General features: G+C 39.1%; 1 long non-coding RNA gene across 5 annotated transcripts in view, besides 1 other annotated feature; it reads left to right on the top strand.

Annotated features, from left to right (window-relative positions):
- The window catches only part of LOC107985862 (uncharacterized), a 63638-nt gene that overhangs the window by 43940 nt on the left and 1885 nt on the right, over positions 1–17813 (top strand). For all 5 annotated transcript variants that reach the window (XR_001739388.1, XR_001739387.1, XR_001739389.1 and 2 more), the window contains exon 4: positions 16904–16947. This is a non-coding gene — a long non-coding RNA (uncharacterized LOC107985862). The remainder of the gene's footprint in view (positions 1–16903; positions 16948–17813) is intronic.
- Positions 9454–9748: an enhancer, noted in NCBI's record as "tiled region #3493; K562 Activating non-DNase unmatched - State 13:Ctcf". NCBI's record gives its function as "activates a minimal TATA promoter and a strong SV40 promoter by Sharpr-MPRA in K562 cells {active_cell/tissue: K562}" and the evidence as "EXISTENCE:reporter gene assay evidence [ECO:0000049][PMID:27701403]".

The raw sequence follows: 17813 nt of genomic DNA, 5'->3' as shown, positions 1-17813 counted from the left end.
GTTTGTCTTTCAGATTTGTGGAGAGGGAATTGGGTTCCTGGTTAAAGTGATAGGATTGTTTCATCATTGGCTATGATCTGAAGCCCTTAACCACAAAGTTGGAAAGCCAGCAAGACAATTGTCCTGGACACTGATTACTGGGTGTCACTGTGCACCTAAGGACTTCTTCCTTAGCTTCGTCCTGCCCTGATGCTCTGAGGTCTCTCTCACTGGAGGTCAAACTGTCCTGGACAAAGTCCCTTAAGCAGTGAAGTATTTTAGATGACCTTTCACCACTTGGACCCACTCTGTCCCCTGCCCCCACCCCATTAGGGAGGTTCAACTGAGATGAGTTTTCTATTGCGTCCAGGTCTGAGAGTCATTTATCCTCACTTACCTGTGTCTCTGACTACAGAAACTGACTGAGATACTTGATAGAAACTTGGGGCTAAGGAGAAAGCAAAAAGTTCCATTCATAGAATTAAATCACTCTCTATCTTTCCCTGAAACCCTAGATTTGAGGGAAACAGAGACTTTGGTATTTAAATAGTTGATACTCTATTTTTTAATTAAATTTTTTGTACGTTTTTATTTTTTTAACTGACAGATAAAATTGTATGTATCCGTTATGTAGAACATGATGTTTTGAAGTATATATACATTGTGGAATGGTTAAATCTATCTAATTAATAAATGTACTACTTCACATAGCTATCGTTTTTCTGGTGAAAACACTCACTTTTTTGTGTTTTTAAGAATACAATATATTGTTATTAACTATAGTCACCATACTATACAATAGGTCTATTGAACTTATTCCTCCTATCTAACTGTAATTTTGTATCCTTTAACTAACATCTCCCAAACCCACCCTCCCCTCCAACCACCCCAGCCCACCATTCCACTCTCTACTTCTACAAGATCAACTTTTTTTAGGTTCCACATATGAGTGAGACAATGCAGTATTTGTCTCTCTGTGCTGGCTTATTTCACTTAACATAATGTCCTCCATGTTCATTCATGTTGTCATAAATGCCAGAATTTCCTTCTTTTCTGGCTAAATAGTATTCTTTTGTGTGTATATATCATATTTTCTTTATCCATTCATCTGTTGATTAATACTTAGGTTGATTTCATATCTTGGCTATTGTGAATAATGCTGCAATAAACATGGGAATTTAGGTATCATTTTGACAGGTCACTTCCAAGATGGCCAAATAGGAACAGCTCTGGTCTGCAGCTCCCAGTGAGACTGATGCAGAAGATGGATGATTTCTGCATTTCCAACTGAGGTACCTGGTTCATCTCATTGGAACTGGTTGGATAGTGGTTGCAGCCCACAGAGGGCAAGATGAAGTAGGGAGGGGCATTGCCTCACCTGGGAAGCACAAGGGTCAGGGGATTTCCCTTTCATAGCCAAGAGAAGCCGTGACAGACTGTACCTGGTGAAACGGTACACTCCTGACCAAATACTGCACTTTTCCCACAGTCTTAGCAACCAGCAGACCAGGAGATACCCTCCCGTGCCTGGCTTGGCAGTTCTCATGCCCATGGAGGCTTGCTTACTGCTAGTGCAGCAGTCTCAGATCGACCTGTGACTCTGCAGCTTGTTGGGAGGGTGGGGCATCCACTATTGCTGAGGCTTGAGTAGCTCACAGTGTAAACAAAGAGGCTGGGAAGCATGAACTGGGTGGACCCACCACAGCTTAGCAAGGCCTACTGCCTCTCTAGATTCCACCTCTGGGGGCAGGACATAGTAGAACAAAAGGAAGCAGACAGCTTCTGCAGACTTAAACGTCCCTGTCTGACAGCACTGAAGAGAGCAGTGGTTCTCTCAGCACAGCATTTGAGCTCCGAGAACAAACAGACTGCTTCCTCAAGTGGGTCCCTGATCCCCATGTAGCCTGACTGGGAAATACCTCCCAGTAGGGGCCAACAGACACCTCAAACAGTCGGGTGCCCCTCTGGGATGAAGCTTCCAGAGAAGGATCAAGCAGCAATATTTGCCGTTCTGGAGTCCCCACTGGTGATACCCAAGCAAACAGCGTCTGGAGTGGACCTCCAGCAAACTCCAGCAGACTGCAGCTGAAGGGTCTGACAGTTAGAAGGAAAACTAACAAACAGAAAAGAATAGCATCAACATCAACAAAAAGGACATCCACATCAAAACCCCATCTGTAGGTCACCAACATCAAAGACCAAAGGTAGATAAAACCACAAAGATGGGGAGAAACCAGAGCAGAAAAGCTGAAAATTCCAAAAAAACAGAGCACCTCTTCTCCTCCAAAGAATCACGCTCCTTGCCAGCAAGGGAACAAAACTGGATGGAGAATGACTTTGACGAGTTGACAGAAGTAGACTTCAGAAAGTCAGTAATAACAAAGTTCTCCGAGCTAAAGGAGCCTATTCTAACCCATCGCAAGGAAGCTAAAAACATCGAAAAATGGTTAGATAAATGGCTAACTAGAATAAACAGTGTAGAGAAGACCTTAAATAACCTGATGGAGCTGAAAACCACAGCATGAGAACTTTGGGATGCATGCACAAGCTTCAATAGCTGATTTGGTGGAAGAAAGGATATCAGTGATTGAAGATTACATTAATGAAAAAAAGCAAGAAGACAAGATTAGAGAAAAAAGAGTGAAAATAAATGAACAAAGCCTCCAAAAAATATGGGACTATGTGAAAAGACCAAATATACGTTTGATTGGTGTACTGGAAAGTGACGGGGAGAATGGAACCAAGTTAAAAAACACTCTTCAGGATATTTTCCAGAACTTCCCTAACCTAGCAAGGCAGGCCAACATTCAAATTCAGGAAATACATAGAACACCACAAAGATACTCTTTGAGAAGAGCAACCCCAAGACACATAATTGTCAGAATCACCAAGGTTGAAATGAAGGAAAAAATGTTAAGGGCAGACAGAGAGAAAGGTCGGATTGCCCACAAAGGGAAGCCCATCAGACTAACAGCAGATCTCTCAGCAGAAACCCTACAGGCCAGAAGAGAGTGGGGGCCAATATTCAACATTCTTAAAGAAAAAAATTTTCAACCCAGAATCTCATATCCAGCTAAACCAAGCTTCATAAGTGAAGGAGAAATAAAATCCTCTACAGACAAGCAAATGCTGAGAGATTCTGTCACCACCAGGCATGCTTTACAAAAGCTCCTGAATGAAGCACTAACATGGAAAAGAGCAACCAGTACCAGCCACTGCAAAAACATGCCAAATTGTAAAGACCATCGATGCTATGAAGAAACTGCATCAATTAATGGACAAAATAACCAGCTGGCATCATAATGACAGGATCAAATTCAAACATAACAATATTAACCTTAAATGTAAATGGGCTAAATGCCCCAATTAAAAGACACAGACTGGCAAATTGGATAGAGTCAAGACCCATTGGTGTGCTGTATTCAGGAGACCTATCTCACATGCAAAGACGCACATAGGCTCAAAATAAAGGGATGGAGGAAGATCTACCAAGCAAATGGAAAGCAAAAACAAACAAACAAACAAACAAAAAAAAACAGAGGTTGCAATCCTAGTCTCTGATAAAACAGACTGTAAACCAAAAAAGATCAAGAGAGACAAAGAAGACCACTACATAATGGTAAAGGGATCAATTCATCAAGAAGAGCTAAATATCCCAAATATATATGCACCTAATACAGGAGCACCCAGATTCATAAAGCAAGTCCTTAGAGACCTACAAAGAGACTTAGTCTCCCATGCAATAATAATGGGAGACTTTAACACCACACTGTCAATATTAGACAGATCAGTGAGACAGAAGGTTAACAAGGATATCCAGGACTTGAACTCAGCTCTAGACCAGGTAGACCTAATAGACATCTACAGAACTCTAAACCCCAAATCAACAGAATATACATTCTTCTCAGCACCACATCACATTTATTCTAAAATTGACCACATAATTGGTAGTAAAGCACTCCTCAGCAAATGTAAAAGAACAGAAATCACAACAAACTGTCTCTCAGAGCACAGTGCAATCAAATTAGAACTCAGGATTAAGAAACTCACTCAAAACTGCACAACTACATGGAAACTGAACAACCTGCTCCTGAGTGACTACTGGGTGAATAAAGAAATGAAGGCAGAGATAAAGATATTCTTTGAAACCAATGAGAACAAAGGCACAATGAACCAGAATCTCTGGGACACATTTAAAGCAGTGTGTAGAGGGAAATTTATAGCACTAAATGACAAGAGAAAGCAGGAAAGATCTAAAATTGACAGCCTAACATCACAATTAAAAGAACTAGAGAAGCAAGAGCAAACAAATTCAAAAGCTAGCAGAAGGCAAGAAATAACTAAGATCAGAGCAGAAGTGAAGGAGATAGAGACAAAAAAACCCTTCAAAAAATCAATGAATCCAGGAGCTGGTTTTTGGAAAAGATCAACAAAACAGACCACCAGCAAGACTAATAAAGAAGAAAAGAGAGAAGAATCAAAGAGACACAATAAAAAATGATAAAGGGGATATCACCACCGATCCCACAGAAATACAAACTACCATCAGAGGATACTATAAACACCTCTACACAAACTAGAAAATCTAGAAGAAATGGATAAATTCCTGGACACATACTCCCTCCCAAGACTAAACCAGGAAGAAGTTGAATCTCTGAATAGACCAGTAACAGGTACTGAAATTGAGGCAATAAATAATGGCCTACCGACCAAAAAAAGTCCAGGACCAGATGGATTCACAGCCGAATTCAACCAGAGGTACAAGGAGGAGCTGGTACCATTCCTTCTGAAACTATTCCAATCAACAGAAAAAGAGGGAATCCTCCCTAACTCATTTAGCATCATCCTGATACCAAAGCCTGGTAGAGGCACAACAAAAAAGAGAATTTTGGGCCAATATCCCTGATGAACTTCGATGCGAAAATCCTCAATAAAATACTGGCAAACCAAATCCAGCAGCCCATCAAAAATCTTATCTACCATGATCAAGTGGGCTTCATCCCTGGGATGCAAGGCTGGTTCAACATATGCAAATCAATAAACGTAATCCATCACATAAACAAGACCAACAACAAAAACCACATAATTATCTCAGTAGATGCAGAAAACGCCTTTGACAAAATTCAACAGCGCTTCATGCTAAAAACTCTCAATAAACTAGGTATTGATGGAACATATCTCAAAATAATAAGAGCTATTTATGACAAACCCACAGCCAATATCATACTGAATGGGCAAAAACTGGAAACATTCCCTTTGAAAACCAGCGCAAGGCAAGGATACCCTCTCCCACCACTCCTATTCAACATAGTATTAGAAGTTCTGGCTAAGGCAATCAGACAAGAGAAGGAACATGATTGTATCTTTAGAAAACCCCATCTTCTCAACCCAAAATCTCCTTAAGCTGATAAGCCACTTCAGCAAAGTCTCAGGATACAAAATCAATGTGCAAAACATCACAAGCATTCCCAGACACCAATAACAGACAAACAGAGCCAAATCATGAGTGAACTGGCATTCACAATTACTACAAACAGAGTAAAATACCTAGGAATCCAACTTACAAGGAAAGTGAAGGACCTCTAACTATAAGCCACTGCTCAACAAAATAAAAGAGGACACAAACAGATGGAAGAACATTCCATGCTCATGGATGGGAAGAATCAATATCATGAAAATGGTCATACTGCCCAAGGTAATTTATAGATTCAATGCTATCCCCATGAAGCTACCACTGACTTTCTTCACAGAATTGGAAAAAACTACTTTAAAGTTCATATGGAACAAGAAAAGAGCCCGCTTAGCAAAGACAATCCTAAGCAAAAAGAATAAAGTTGGAGGCATCACACTACCTGACCTCAAACTATACTACAAGGCTACAGTAACCAAAACATCATGGTACTGGTACCAAAACAGATATATAGACCAATGGAACAGAACAGAGGCCTCCGAAATAACACCACACATCTACAACCATCTGATCTTTGACAAACCTGATAAAAACAAGAAATGGGGAAAGGATTCCTTATTTAATAAATGGTGCCGGGAAAACTGGCTAGCCATATGTAGAAAGCTGAAACTGGATCCCTTCCTCACACTGTATACAAAAATTAACTCAAGGTGGATTAAAGAGTTAAATGTCAGATCTAAGACCATAAAAACCTTAGAAGAAAACCTAGGCAATACAATTCATGACATAGGCATGGGCAAAGACTTCATGACTGAAACACCAAAAGCAATGGCAACAAAAGCCAAAATTGACAAATGGGATCTAATTAAACCAAAGAGCTTCTGCACAGGAAAAGAAACTATTATCAGAGTGAACAGGCAACCAACAGAATGGGAGAAAATTTTTGCAATCTACCCATCTGACAAAGGGATAATATCCAGAATCTACAAAGAACTTAAACAGATTTACAAGAAAAAAATAACTCCATCAAAAAGTGGGCAAAGGATATGAACAGACCCTTCTCAAAAGAAGACATTTATGCAGCCAACAGACATATGAAAAAATGCTTATCATCATTGGTCATCAGAGAAATGCAAATCAAAACCACAATATGATACTATCTCACACCAGTTAGAATGGCGATCATTAAAAAGTCAGGAAACAACAGATGCTGGAGAAGATGTGGAGAAATAGGAATGCTTTTACACTTTTGATGGGAGTGTAAATTAGTTCAACCATTGTGGAAGACAGTGTGGTGATTCATCAAGGATCTAGAACTAGAAATAGCATTTGACCCAGTAATTCCGTTACTGGGTATATACCCAAAGGATTATAAATCTTGCTACTATAAACACTCATGCACACGTATGTTTATTGCGACAGTATTCACAATAGCAAAGACTTGGAACCAACCCAAATGTCCATCAATGATAGACTGGATAAAGAAAATGTGGCACGTATATACCATGGAATACTATGCAGCCGTAGAAAAGATGAGTTCATGTCCTTTGCAGGGACATGGATGAAGCTGAAAATCATCATTCTAAGCAAACTATCCGAAGGACAGAAAACCAAACACCACATGTTCTCACTGATAGTTGGGAGTTGAACAACGAGAACAGATGGACACAGGGTGGGGAACATCACACACTGGGGCCTGTTGGGGGATGGGGGATGGGGGAGGGATAACATTAGGAGAAATACCTAATGTAAATGATGAGTTGATGGGTGTGGCAAACCAACATGGCACATGTATACCTACATAGCAAACCTGCACATTGTGCAAATGTACCTAAGAACTTAAAGTATATATATAAAAAAGATATCATTTTGACATATGAATTTTATTTCTTTTGGATCTATTCCCTGTAGTGGGATAGCTAAATGAGATAGTAGTTCTATTTTTAGTTTTTTGATAAAACTCCATACTGTTTTCTGTAATGGTTGTAGTAATTTACATCCCCCACCAACAGTGTGTTAGGGTTCCCTTTTCTCCATGTGTTCACCAACACTTACATTTTGTCTTTTTGATAAGTCATTCTAACAGGTGTGAGGTGATATCTCGTTGTTTTGCTTTGCAGTTCTTTGATAATTAGTTATATTGAGCATTTTTTTCATATACCTATTGGCCGTTTGTATGTCTTCTTTTGATTAATGTCTTCTTTTGAGTATATTAAGGTCCTTTAACCATTTTTAAGATTGGGTTATTTGTTTTCTTGCTATTGAGTTGTTTGAGTTCCTTATATATTTTAGATATTAAGCCCTTGTTATATGTATAGTTTTCAAATATTTTCTCCCATTCTATAGGTTGTCTCTTTACTCTGTAGATTACTTCCTTCACCATGCATAAACTTTTTAGTTTGATGTAATCCCATTTGTCTATTTTTGCTTTTGTGCCTATGGTTTTGAGGTCATATCCAAAAAAATCATTGCTCCGACAGATGCCATGAAGGTTTTCTCCTATGTTTCCTTCTAGCAGTTTTATAGTTTTGGATTTTAAATTTAAGTCTTTAATCCATTTTGGGTTAATTTTTGCATATGGTAAAAGATAAGGGTCTAATTTCATTCTTCTGCATGTGGATATCCAGATTTCCCAACACCATTTATTGAAGAGACTGTCATTTTCCCATTGTATATCTTTGGCACTTTTGTTAAAAATCAGTTGACTGTAAACGTGTGGATATATTTCTGGCTTCTCTTACTGTTTCATTGGTCTATGTGTCTGCTTTCATGCCAGTAACATGCTGTTTTTGTTGCTATAGCTTTGTAGTATATGATATTAAGTTTTGAACCTCATTGTACTATACACAGATTCACTACAGGGTATAACTGAGAATACAGGAATTCTAGCCCACCCTCTTATTTTACAGATGAAGATAGGCACAGAGAAAGTAAGGAGTTTGCCTAAGAGTGGTAGAGCTGGGCCTAGAATTCACCTGAGCTCAAGCTTTTTCAACCTATCAATTTCAAGCTATTTTCTACCAGATTGTCCCCAAATTCTTTGCCTCCACCCAGATCCTTTCTTGATGCTACAAGAAGTTTTCTAGATATTTCTGCCCCCATGCATCTTGTGACCTACTTTGATAAAGATTTAAAAAAACTAGATTGGAAGATGGTGGATTGGAGGCAGTGTTAGCATGCCTCTCTGACTTGGAAAGACAAAATAGTGTGTAGAGATTCACACTATGAACTTTTTTTCCAAGAAGCAATGCAGGAATTTAACAAAAAAACTGAAGGAAACCACAGACCCTTTGAAAGAAGTAGCAGACTACAGCCTACTCTGTGAGCCAGGCAAAAATCTGTAAGTCCCCAGAGTGTTAGAGGGTGAAAGACTGCCTCCAAGATACAGATCCCTACCAGGGAATCTGACAATCCAAGTCCTGAGGGAGGGCCTTAACCCTACTGAGGGCTGGAACTGATTTAGGGAGTGGTGAAAAATATATAAGGAGCAGCAGCAGGAAGAGCATTGTGTGCATTCCCAGTCTCCAGTGCAGACTAAGGGAAGCCATTTCTGATTCTACCTCACAGGAGATTTTATGGAAGTCTGCTAGCTAACGCAGGCAGTGGTTGTAGTTTGAGAGAAACTCCCAACTGAAATTTGCAATATAATCTCGAGTGATGATGAACTCCTCTTGCCAGAATTGTGGGGGAGAGAGGCCAGAATGTGGGGGAGAGTGGGAAGTGTGCTGCAGCCATGTCTGGAGGAGCTGGATACCCTGGCTTTTTGAGCAAACTGGGAGGGGAATGGCCTGAAAACCAAGGTTGTTGTCTCCCCTGTGAAGGCATATGGCCTGGGGCAGTTTTGAGTTTTGAGTGTAGACTGCCTGAAACTTACCTAGTTGCTGCTAGCAGAACACTGCAGGTATGAGAACTGCCTTGCCAAGTGCATGGGAGCAGGGTGGGGCTTACTGGCACCTGCTACCCCCGTTTCCTGAGAGAACTCTTCTGTGCAGCTGAGGCAGCCAAGCTTCTCCCTGGAACATTACCCCAGTGGCCAGAGAACCACCCCCTGGCCCCTACAGGGACCACTGCTTGCCCTGAATGTGGACAGCCAGAGCGCAGACCTGCCTGACCCAGCCCCCATCTGGCTTTGCCTCTGCACTCGCCCTGATAGCTTAACACAAAGGACAGAACTGTTTGGTGGCTTTATAGCCCCACCTATCGCCTGAAAAACCAGAGTGCCACTCCTGGGTAACATAAGGCAAGCATAAATCCCACTGCTACTACCACAGCTGGTGCTATTTTACAAGGGCCACCTCCTGGCCAGAGGTCAGCTAACAATTAACCTCAGCTATCACCACTGTCTTTACCACTCTGGCTAACCAGGAGGTCCCAAGTCTGTCCATGTGACCAGTACATTGCTACTGCAACCAGCATTTAAGAAAACCAACAATATAAGGCTATTTATAACCAAGGAACCTCACAGAGTCTACATCACTGCCCTGCCACCCCCATGAGAGCTGGTGCTGGTACCTACTGCTGGGAGACTTGAGGACAGATCACATTACTGAATCCCTTGCAGACATTCCCCAGCACCAGCCTGGAGTGTGGCAGCCCCACCAAACAGCTAGACCCAGAGGAGCAGCAGCATTCACAGTAATCTGGTTCTCAGGGACTCCTACTCCTAAGGGAAGGGGGAGTGCGCCACATCAAGGGAACACCCTGTGGGACAAAAGAATCTGGATGGAAGGCCTTGAGTCCTAAATCTTTCCATTGGTGGGAAGTTCCTTTCAGCAGAGGCACAGTTGTAGTGCTGGGCTCAGTGGGGAAAGTCTGCAGCTCTACTCCAACAGTCAGGCAGTCCTGGTACTCCTGAAGAATCTTGGAGAAGGGGACTTATTTTTCCCCCATCCACCACTGCAGACATAGCTGAGGGTTCTCCCATGGGCACTCAGGATGGGTGCACATATAGACAGCCTTTCTGGAACACTTTAAGGTGACTGCATTCACACAGGAGGAGCACTCTTCAGGTTCAGGCTTGCATGGGAGATAGGGTCACAATTCCTCTCTACTTGGAACATCAACATTTCTGCAGATGAAAATAGGTGCCTGTCTGGTCTGAATAGCCAGAACTCTGGGTCAAGAGTGTGCCTGGGAGGTAGATTGCTTTCCTGCTGGCCTGGCAGGGAAGCTGAGGTGGCTTCCATCCTCCCCATCAATAAGATCTCAGTGAATTTAACTGAGAGCTTCCCTGGCCCCTCTGTTGAGGCTGGGATCTCTGCCCACCATTGTGTATTGCGTTTATTCACCTGCTTTAGCCACAACTGGTTTCTACCAAGGAACACCTCCCCTACTGGCCTGAAGTATGAACTGTTCAACCCAGTAAATAAAATACTGGGGAAAAATAAATAAATAAGTGCACACCATGGAAGAATGAGATAAGCTTCAAGAGACCGCTGCCATTTCAATCCCATAGGGGATTGTGAAGTTTCTCACATACCAAGGATATTGCTACTATAACAAGCATCTGACAAAACCATCATATGAAGATTCCTTATAGCCGAGGAACTCATACAGCGTCTTCACCCTTGAAAGCACCAAGAGCTGAATTAGGCTACAATAAACTACATGCATTAAAGTCACATCCTTAAGAGGGAAAATTTAATTTAAAAAAACACAGTCAAACCAAAAGTAAATTCAAGAATAATTAGAAGAAATAGTAAACCCAAATGAGAAGGAGCCAGAAAAGTAATTCTGATAATATGACAAAGCAGGGTTCTATAACACCCCTAAAAGATCATACTAGCTCTCCAGCAATGGATCCAAACCAAGGTGACAACTTTGAAATACTAGACAAAGTATTCAAAAGGTTGATTATTAAGCCACTCAAAGAGATACCAGAGAAAGCTGAAAACCAACATAAAAAATTAAAAAAACAATTCAGGACATGAATAAAATTTTTCTAAAGAGATATTTTAAAGAAAAGCCAGTCAGAACTTCTTGAAATGAAAACCACATTTAGGGAATTACAAAATGTAGTGGAAAGTTTTAACAACAGACTAGAACAAGAAGAAGAAAGAATTTCAGAACTTGAAGCAAGGCTTTAGAATTAACCCAATCAGACAAAAATAAAGAAAAAATGAATCAAAAGAAATAAACAAATTCTCCAAAAAATATGGGATTATGTAAAATGACCAAACCTAAGAAAAATTGGTGTTTCTGAGGGAGAAGAAAAAGCAAATGGTTTGGAAAACTTATTTGAGGGAATAAATGAGGAAAATCTCACTGGCCTTGCTAGAGATTTAGATATGAAAATGCAAGCAGCTCAAAGAACTCCTGGGAGATTCATTGTAAAAAGGACATCACCATATAGTCACCAAGCTATCTAAAGTCAACACGAAGGAAAGAATTCTAAGAGTAGTGAGACCAAAGCATCAGACAACCAATAAAGCAAAAGCTAAGTTTCTACTTCTCAGTAAAAACTTACAAGCCAGAAGGGATTTTAATTTATCTTTAGCTTTCTTAAACAGAGCAACTGTCAGCCAAGAATTTTGTATTCAGCAAAACTAATTTTCATAAATGAAGGAGAAATAAAGTCATTTTCAGACAAACAAATGCTGAGTAAATTTGTCACTATCAGAGAAGCCCTACAAGAAATGCTAAAAGAAGTTTCAAATCTTGAAACAAAAGCTCAGTATGCACCAGAATAAAATCTCTTGAAAGCATAAAACTCACAGGAGCTATAAAACAGTAACACAATGAGTAAAACAAAGTGGGTAACAACTAACATGATGACTGGAACAGTACCTCACATCTCAATATTAATATTGATTGTAAATGGCCTGAATACTCCACTTAAAAGATACTGATTGGTTGCATGGATAAAAAAAAAATTGCAAACCTAATATCTGCTGCCTTCAAGAGACTCACCTAACATATAAGAATTCATATAAACTCAAGGTAAATGGGTGGGAAAAGATATTCCATGCAAATGGAAACCAAAAGTGAGCATGAGTAGCTATTATTATATCAGATAAAACAGACTTTAAAGGAACAAAGGTAAAAAAAGACAAAGAAGGTCATTAAATAATGCTAAAAGGATCAATCCCACAAGAAGATATTACTATCCTAAATTTATATGCACCTAACATTGGAGCTCCCAGATTAGTAAAACAATTACGCTAGACCTAAGAAATGAGATAACAGCAACATAATAATAGTGGGGGACTTCAACACTCCACTGACAGCATTAAACAGATCATCAAGACAGAAAGGCAACAAAGAAACAGTGGAATTAAACTACACTCTAGAACGAATGGACCTAACAGATATTTACAGAACATTTTACCCAACAACTGAAGAATATACATTCTTCTCTTCACCACATGGAATGTTCTCCAAGATTGGTCATGTGATAGGCCACAAAACAAGTCTCAATAAATTAAGAAAATCAGAATCATATTAAGTATTTTCTCAGACCACAGTGGAATAAAACTAGAAATCAACTCCAAAAGAAATACTCAAAACTATATAAATACATAAAAATTAAACAACCTGCTCCTGAATAATTTTGGGGTTAACAATGAAACAAAGATGGAAATTTAAAATATTCCTTGAAACGAATGATAATAGCAACCTAAGTTATCAAAACCTCTGGGATACAGCAAAAACAGTGCAAAAAGGAAAGTTTATAGGGCTAAATGCCTACATTGGAAAGCCTGAAAGATCACAAACTGACAATATAATGTCACTTCTCAAGGAACTAGAGAAACTAGAACAAACTAAAGCCAAAGCTGGCAGAAGAAAAGAAATAACAAAGATCAGAACAAAACTAAATTAATTTGAAACAAAAAATACAAAAGATCAATGAAACAAAAAGTTGGTTCTTTGAAAAGATAAACAAAATTGATAGATCATTAGCTATGTTAACCAAGAAGGGAGAAGATTCAAATAAGCTCAATTAGAAGTGAAACTGGAGACATTACAACGAAAACCACACATATACAAAAAATCATTTAAGACTACTATGAACACTTCTATGCACACAAACTAGGAAACTAGAGGAAATAAATTCTTGGAAACATGCAACCCTCCTACATTAAATTAGGAAGAAATAGAAAGCATGAACACACCAATAACAAGCAGTGAGATTGAACTAGTAATAAAAGAAAAATTGCCAACAACAGCAGCAGCAGCAGCAGCAGCAGCAACAACAACAACAACAACAACAACAACAAAAGCCCAGGACAAAATGGATTCACAACTGAATTCTGCCGGACATCCAGAGAAGAATTGGTATGAATCCTACTGAAACTATTCCAAAAAATTGAGAAAGAATGAATCATCTCTAAACCATTCTATGAAGCCAGTATCACCCTAATGCCAAAAACAAGGAAAGTACATAACAAAAAAAAGAAAACTATAGACAAATATCCCTAATAAACGTAGATGCAAAAATCCTCAACAAAATACTAACCAAATCCAATAGCACATAAAAAAGATAATACACCATGATCAAGTGGGTTTCATCCCAGGGATGCAAGGATGTTTTAACATACATGAGTCAATAAATATGATACATCACATAGAATTAAAAAAAACAAAAACAAAACCATATGATCATCTCAATAGATGCAGAAAAAGCATTTGATAAAATCCACATTCTTTCATGGTGAAAACCCTCAACAAACTAGGCATAGAAGGGACTTACCTCAAAATAGTAAAAGCCATATACAACAAACCCACATCCAACATCATACTGAATGGAGAAAAGTTGAAAGCATTCCCCCACACTTAGAATTGGAATAAGACAAGAATGCCCACTTTCATCATTTCTGTTCAACATAGTATTGGAAATACTAGCAAGAACAATCAAGCAAGAGAAGGAAATAAAGGGCATCCAAAATGGAAAAGAGGAAGTCAAATTATTGCTCTTTGCTGATGATATGATTATATACCTAGAAAACCCCAAAGACTTATTCAAAAGACTCCTATATTTGATAAATGAATTTAGTAAAGTCTCAGGTTACAAAATCAATGTACACAAAGTAGTATCACCGCTATATACCAACAACAACCAAGCTGAGGATCAAATCAAGAACTCAATTTTTTTTACAACAGCTGAAAAAAAAGACCTAGGAATACACTTAGTCAAGGAGGTGAAAGATCTCTATGAGGAGAACTATAGAACACTGCTAAAAAAATAATGGATGGCAAAAACCAATGGAAACACATTGACATTATGGATTTGAAGAATCAATATTATGAAAATGACCATATTACCTAAAGCAATCTACAGATTCAATGCAATTCCTATCAAAATACCAACATAATTTTTCATAAAATTAGAAAAAACAATTCTGAAATTCATATGAAACCCAGAAAGAGCCCAAATAGCCAAAGAAATCCTAAGCAAAAAGAACAGATCTGGAGGCATCACATTACCAAACTTCAAATTATACTACTAAGGTATAGTTACCAAAACAACATGGTATAAAAGTAGACACGTAGACCAATGAAAAATAACAGAGAACCCAGAAATAAAGCCAAATACTTACAACCAACTGATCTTTGACCAAGCATACAGAAATATAAATTGAGGAAAGGACACTCTATTTAATAAATGGTGCTGGGAAAACTGGATAGCCACATGTAGAATAATGAAACTGGATCACTATTTCTCACCTTATTAAAAAATAAACTCAAGATGGATCAGAGACCTTCAGATCTTAAGTCCAAGACCTGAAACCGTAAAAATCCTAGAAGGTAACCTAGGAAAACCTCTACTGAACATTGGCCTAGGCAAAGAATTTATGACTAAGACCCCCAGAACAAATGCAACTAAAGCAAAAATAAATAAATGGAACCTAATTAAACTAAAAGCTTCTGTACATCAAAAGAAATAATCATCAGAATAAACAGACAACTCACAGAGTAGGAGAAAATATTTGCAAACTGTGCATCTGACAAAGGACTAATATCCAGAATCTACAAGGAACTCACACAAATCAGCAAGAAAAAAAACCCACAAATAATCCCATCAAAAAGTGGACAAATGACATGAATAGACATTTCTTCAAAGAATATATACAAATGGCCAACAAACATATGAAAAAATGCTCAACATCACTAATCATCAGATAAATGCAAATTAAAACCACAATGAGACACTATCTTACCCCTGCAAGAATGGCCATCATTAAAAAGTCAAAAAACAGTAGATGTTGGTATGGTTGTGGTAAAAAGGGAACAATTAGATACTGCTGGTGGGAATGTAAATTGGTACAATCTCTATGGAAAACAGTATAGAGACTTCTTAGAGAATTAAAAGTAGATCTACATTTGATCCAGCAAACCCATTACTGGGTATCTACCCACAGGAAAATAGTCATTATAGAAAAAAGAGCCGGCGTGCATACATTTATTGGAGCACAATTCACAATTGCAAATATATGGAATGAACCTATGTGCCCATTGACCAATGAGTGGATAAAGAAAATGTGGTATGTATATATCATGGAAAACTACTCAGCCATAACAAATGAAATAATGTATTTTGCAGCAACTTGGGTAGAGCTGGAGGCCATTATTCTAAGTGAAGTAACTCAGGAATGGAAAATGAAATACCATATGCTCTAACTTATGAGACCTAAACTATGGTTACACAAAGGCATACAGAATGACATAATGGACTTTTGAGACTCAGAATGGGGAGGGTGGAAGCAGGGTGAAGGATAAAAACCTACATATTGGATACAATGTACACTACTTGGGTGATGGTTGCACTAAAATCTCAGACATCACCACTATGCAATTAATTTATTCATGTAACCCCAAACCACCTGTACTCCAAAAGCTATTGAAATAAAAACAAAAGAACTAGATTGTGCTTTAGTTGGAAAATTAAGGGTGAAATAGTAATGCAGGGCAGCATAGTAACACAAGGCAGCATATACACATGGCAAGTGAGTAATGAGTGCTGATGTCAGAGGATGCTTCTAGAAAAAGGCACAGAACTAGGCTGGTTGAGTCTTTAGGTGGTTTTTCAGTAGGTTCCTCAAATTATAGTCCTACAGGACAAGAAACTTGGTTTTTCCCATGTTTCCCGAGAGCACCGTACTGTCTAGGCCCAATCCACCCAAGTGACATTCTCAAGAGATTGCTGTGAAATACGGAAGGCCAATTTATTGGTTTTCAGGGGGGACTATGCATGTTTAGGGACCCAGATAGTTGTATCTTTATTCAGAGGATTCTCTCCCTAAAGAAGAGAGAGCGAAACCATCACCAGCATTTTGCCTGGTGATTTTTGAATCAGAGCAAAGGATACCAGATAGACTTAGAAGGAAGATTACCTTAATGTGACCAGACCCATCCACCCATCCTGTTCAGTGTCTTCACTGTAAGTCCTTTGGACTGGGTGGAATTAATACTACTCAAGCCTGCTATTTGAGTCCTCTTGCTTGCACATTTTAATACAATTGGTTATACAACAGGTTTTTTTTTTCAAATTTATTTATACTTTGATTTGATTCATAGGTCATTCTTCCTGCTTTGATCAAGCAATCATCATGTCCCTTTAGGTAAGGAGACCATCCATTTCATAAGAGTTTTGCCAGTCAATGTCTAGATGTTAACTCACTTTTAAGTTCCAGGGCATTCCACTGTAGCTCGCAGGTAGGCATCAAACAAATGAGAAGGGCTCTAGGACAGTGTTTCTAAGAAAGGGAACCTAACTGGGACTATGACTGTGAGAAGGTTTTCCTGGTTAAGAAGTAACTTAGGGAGCTCAGCTAAGGGTGAAATAGACCTGTCAGCCATTTCTCCATGCTAGACGCTAGCTCCTCTATCTCTGAAGGCCCCTTCTGAATAGAATTCTCATGTCACACATGACCTTGGCAGAATCATCTTTTTTTCTGGGAGCCCAGATGGAGTAAAATCATCTATAAAAGGTGCACAGAATGGAAGGCACATTTGGGGCAATGGCTATGACACATGGGGGCTTCTAGGCTTAATATTTTGCTAAGGGCTGTTTGGAAACACACCTTTGGCTGTGGCCTCTACAGTGTTTTCTCTAACTTGTCCTTTCTGCTAGTCTATTGGCTACGTTTAGAAATCTTGCTGAAGGAAAGTGTCGCATTATGAAACAATCACTGTTTTTGTGCTTTTAACATACTTTCCCCCCAGCCAGGATCTGTCTTTAAGGATGGGAGGTGTATCAGTCAGGGTTCTCTTATAAGGGAGTTTATTAAGTATTAACTCACACTATCACAAGGTCCCACAATAGGCTGTCTTGTAAGCTGAAGAGCAAGGAGAGCCAGTCCGAGTCCCCAGACTGAAGATGTTCGAGGGCAGGAAGCATCTAGCATGGGAGAAAGATGTAGGCTGGGAGGCTAGGCCCATCTTGCCTTTTCACATGTTTTTGCCTGCTTTATATTCTCTAGAAGCT

This window comes from Homo sapiens, chromosome 2 (genome assembly GCF_000001405.40).
Source record: "Homo sapiens chromosome 2, GRCh38.p14 Primary Assembly".
Lineage (NCBI taxonomy): Eukaryota > Metazoa > Chordata > Mammalia > Primates > Hominidae > Homo > Homo sapiens.
The sequence above is the reverse complement of the archived record's forward strand: the minus strand, read 5'-3'. Positions and strand labels throughout refer to the sequence as shown.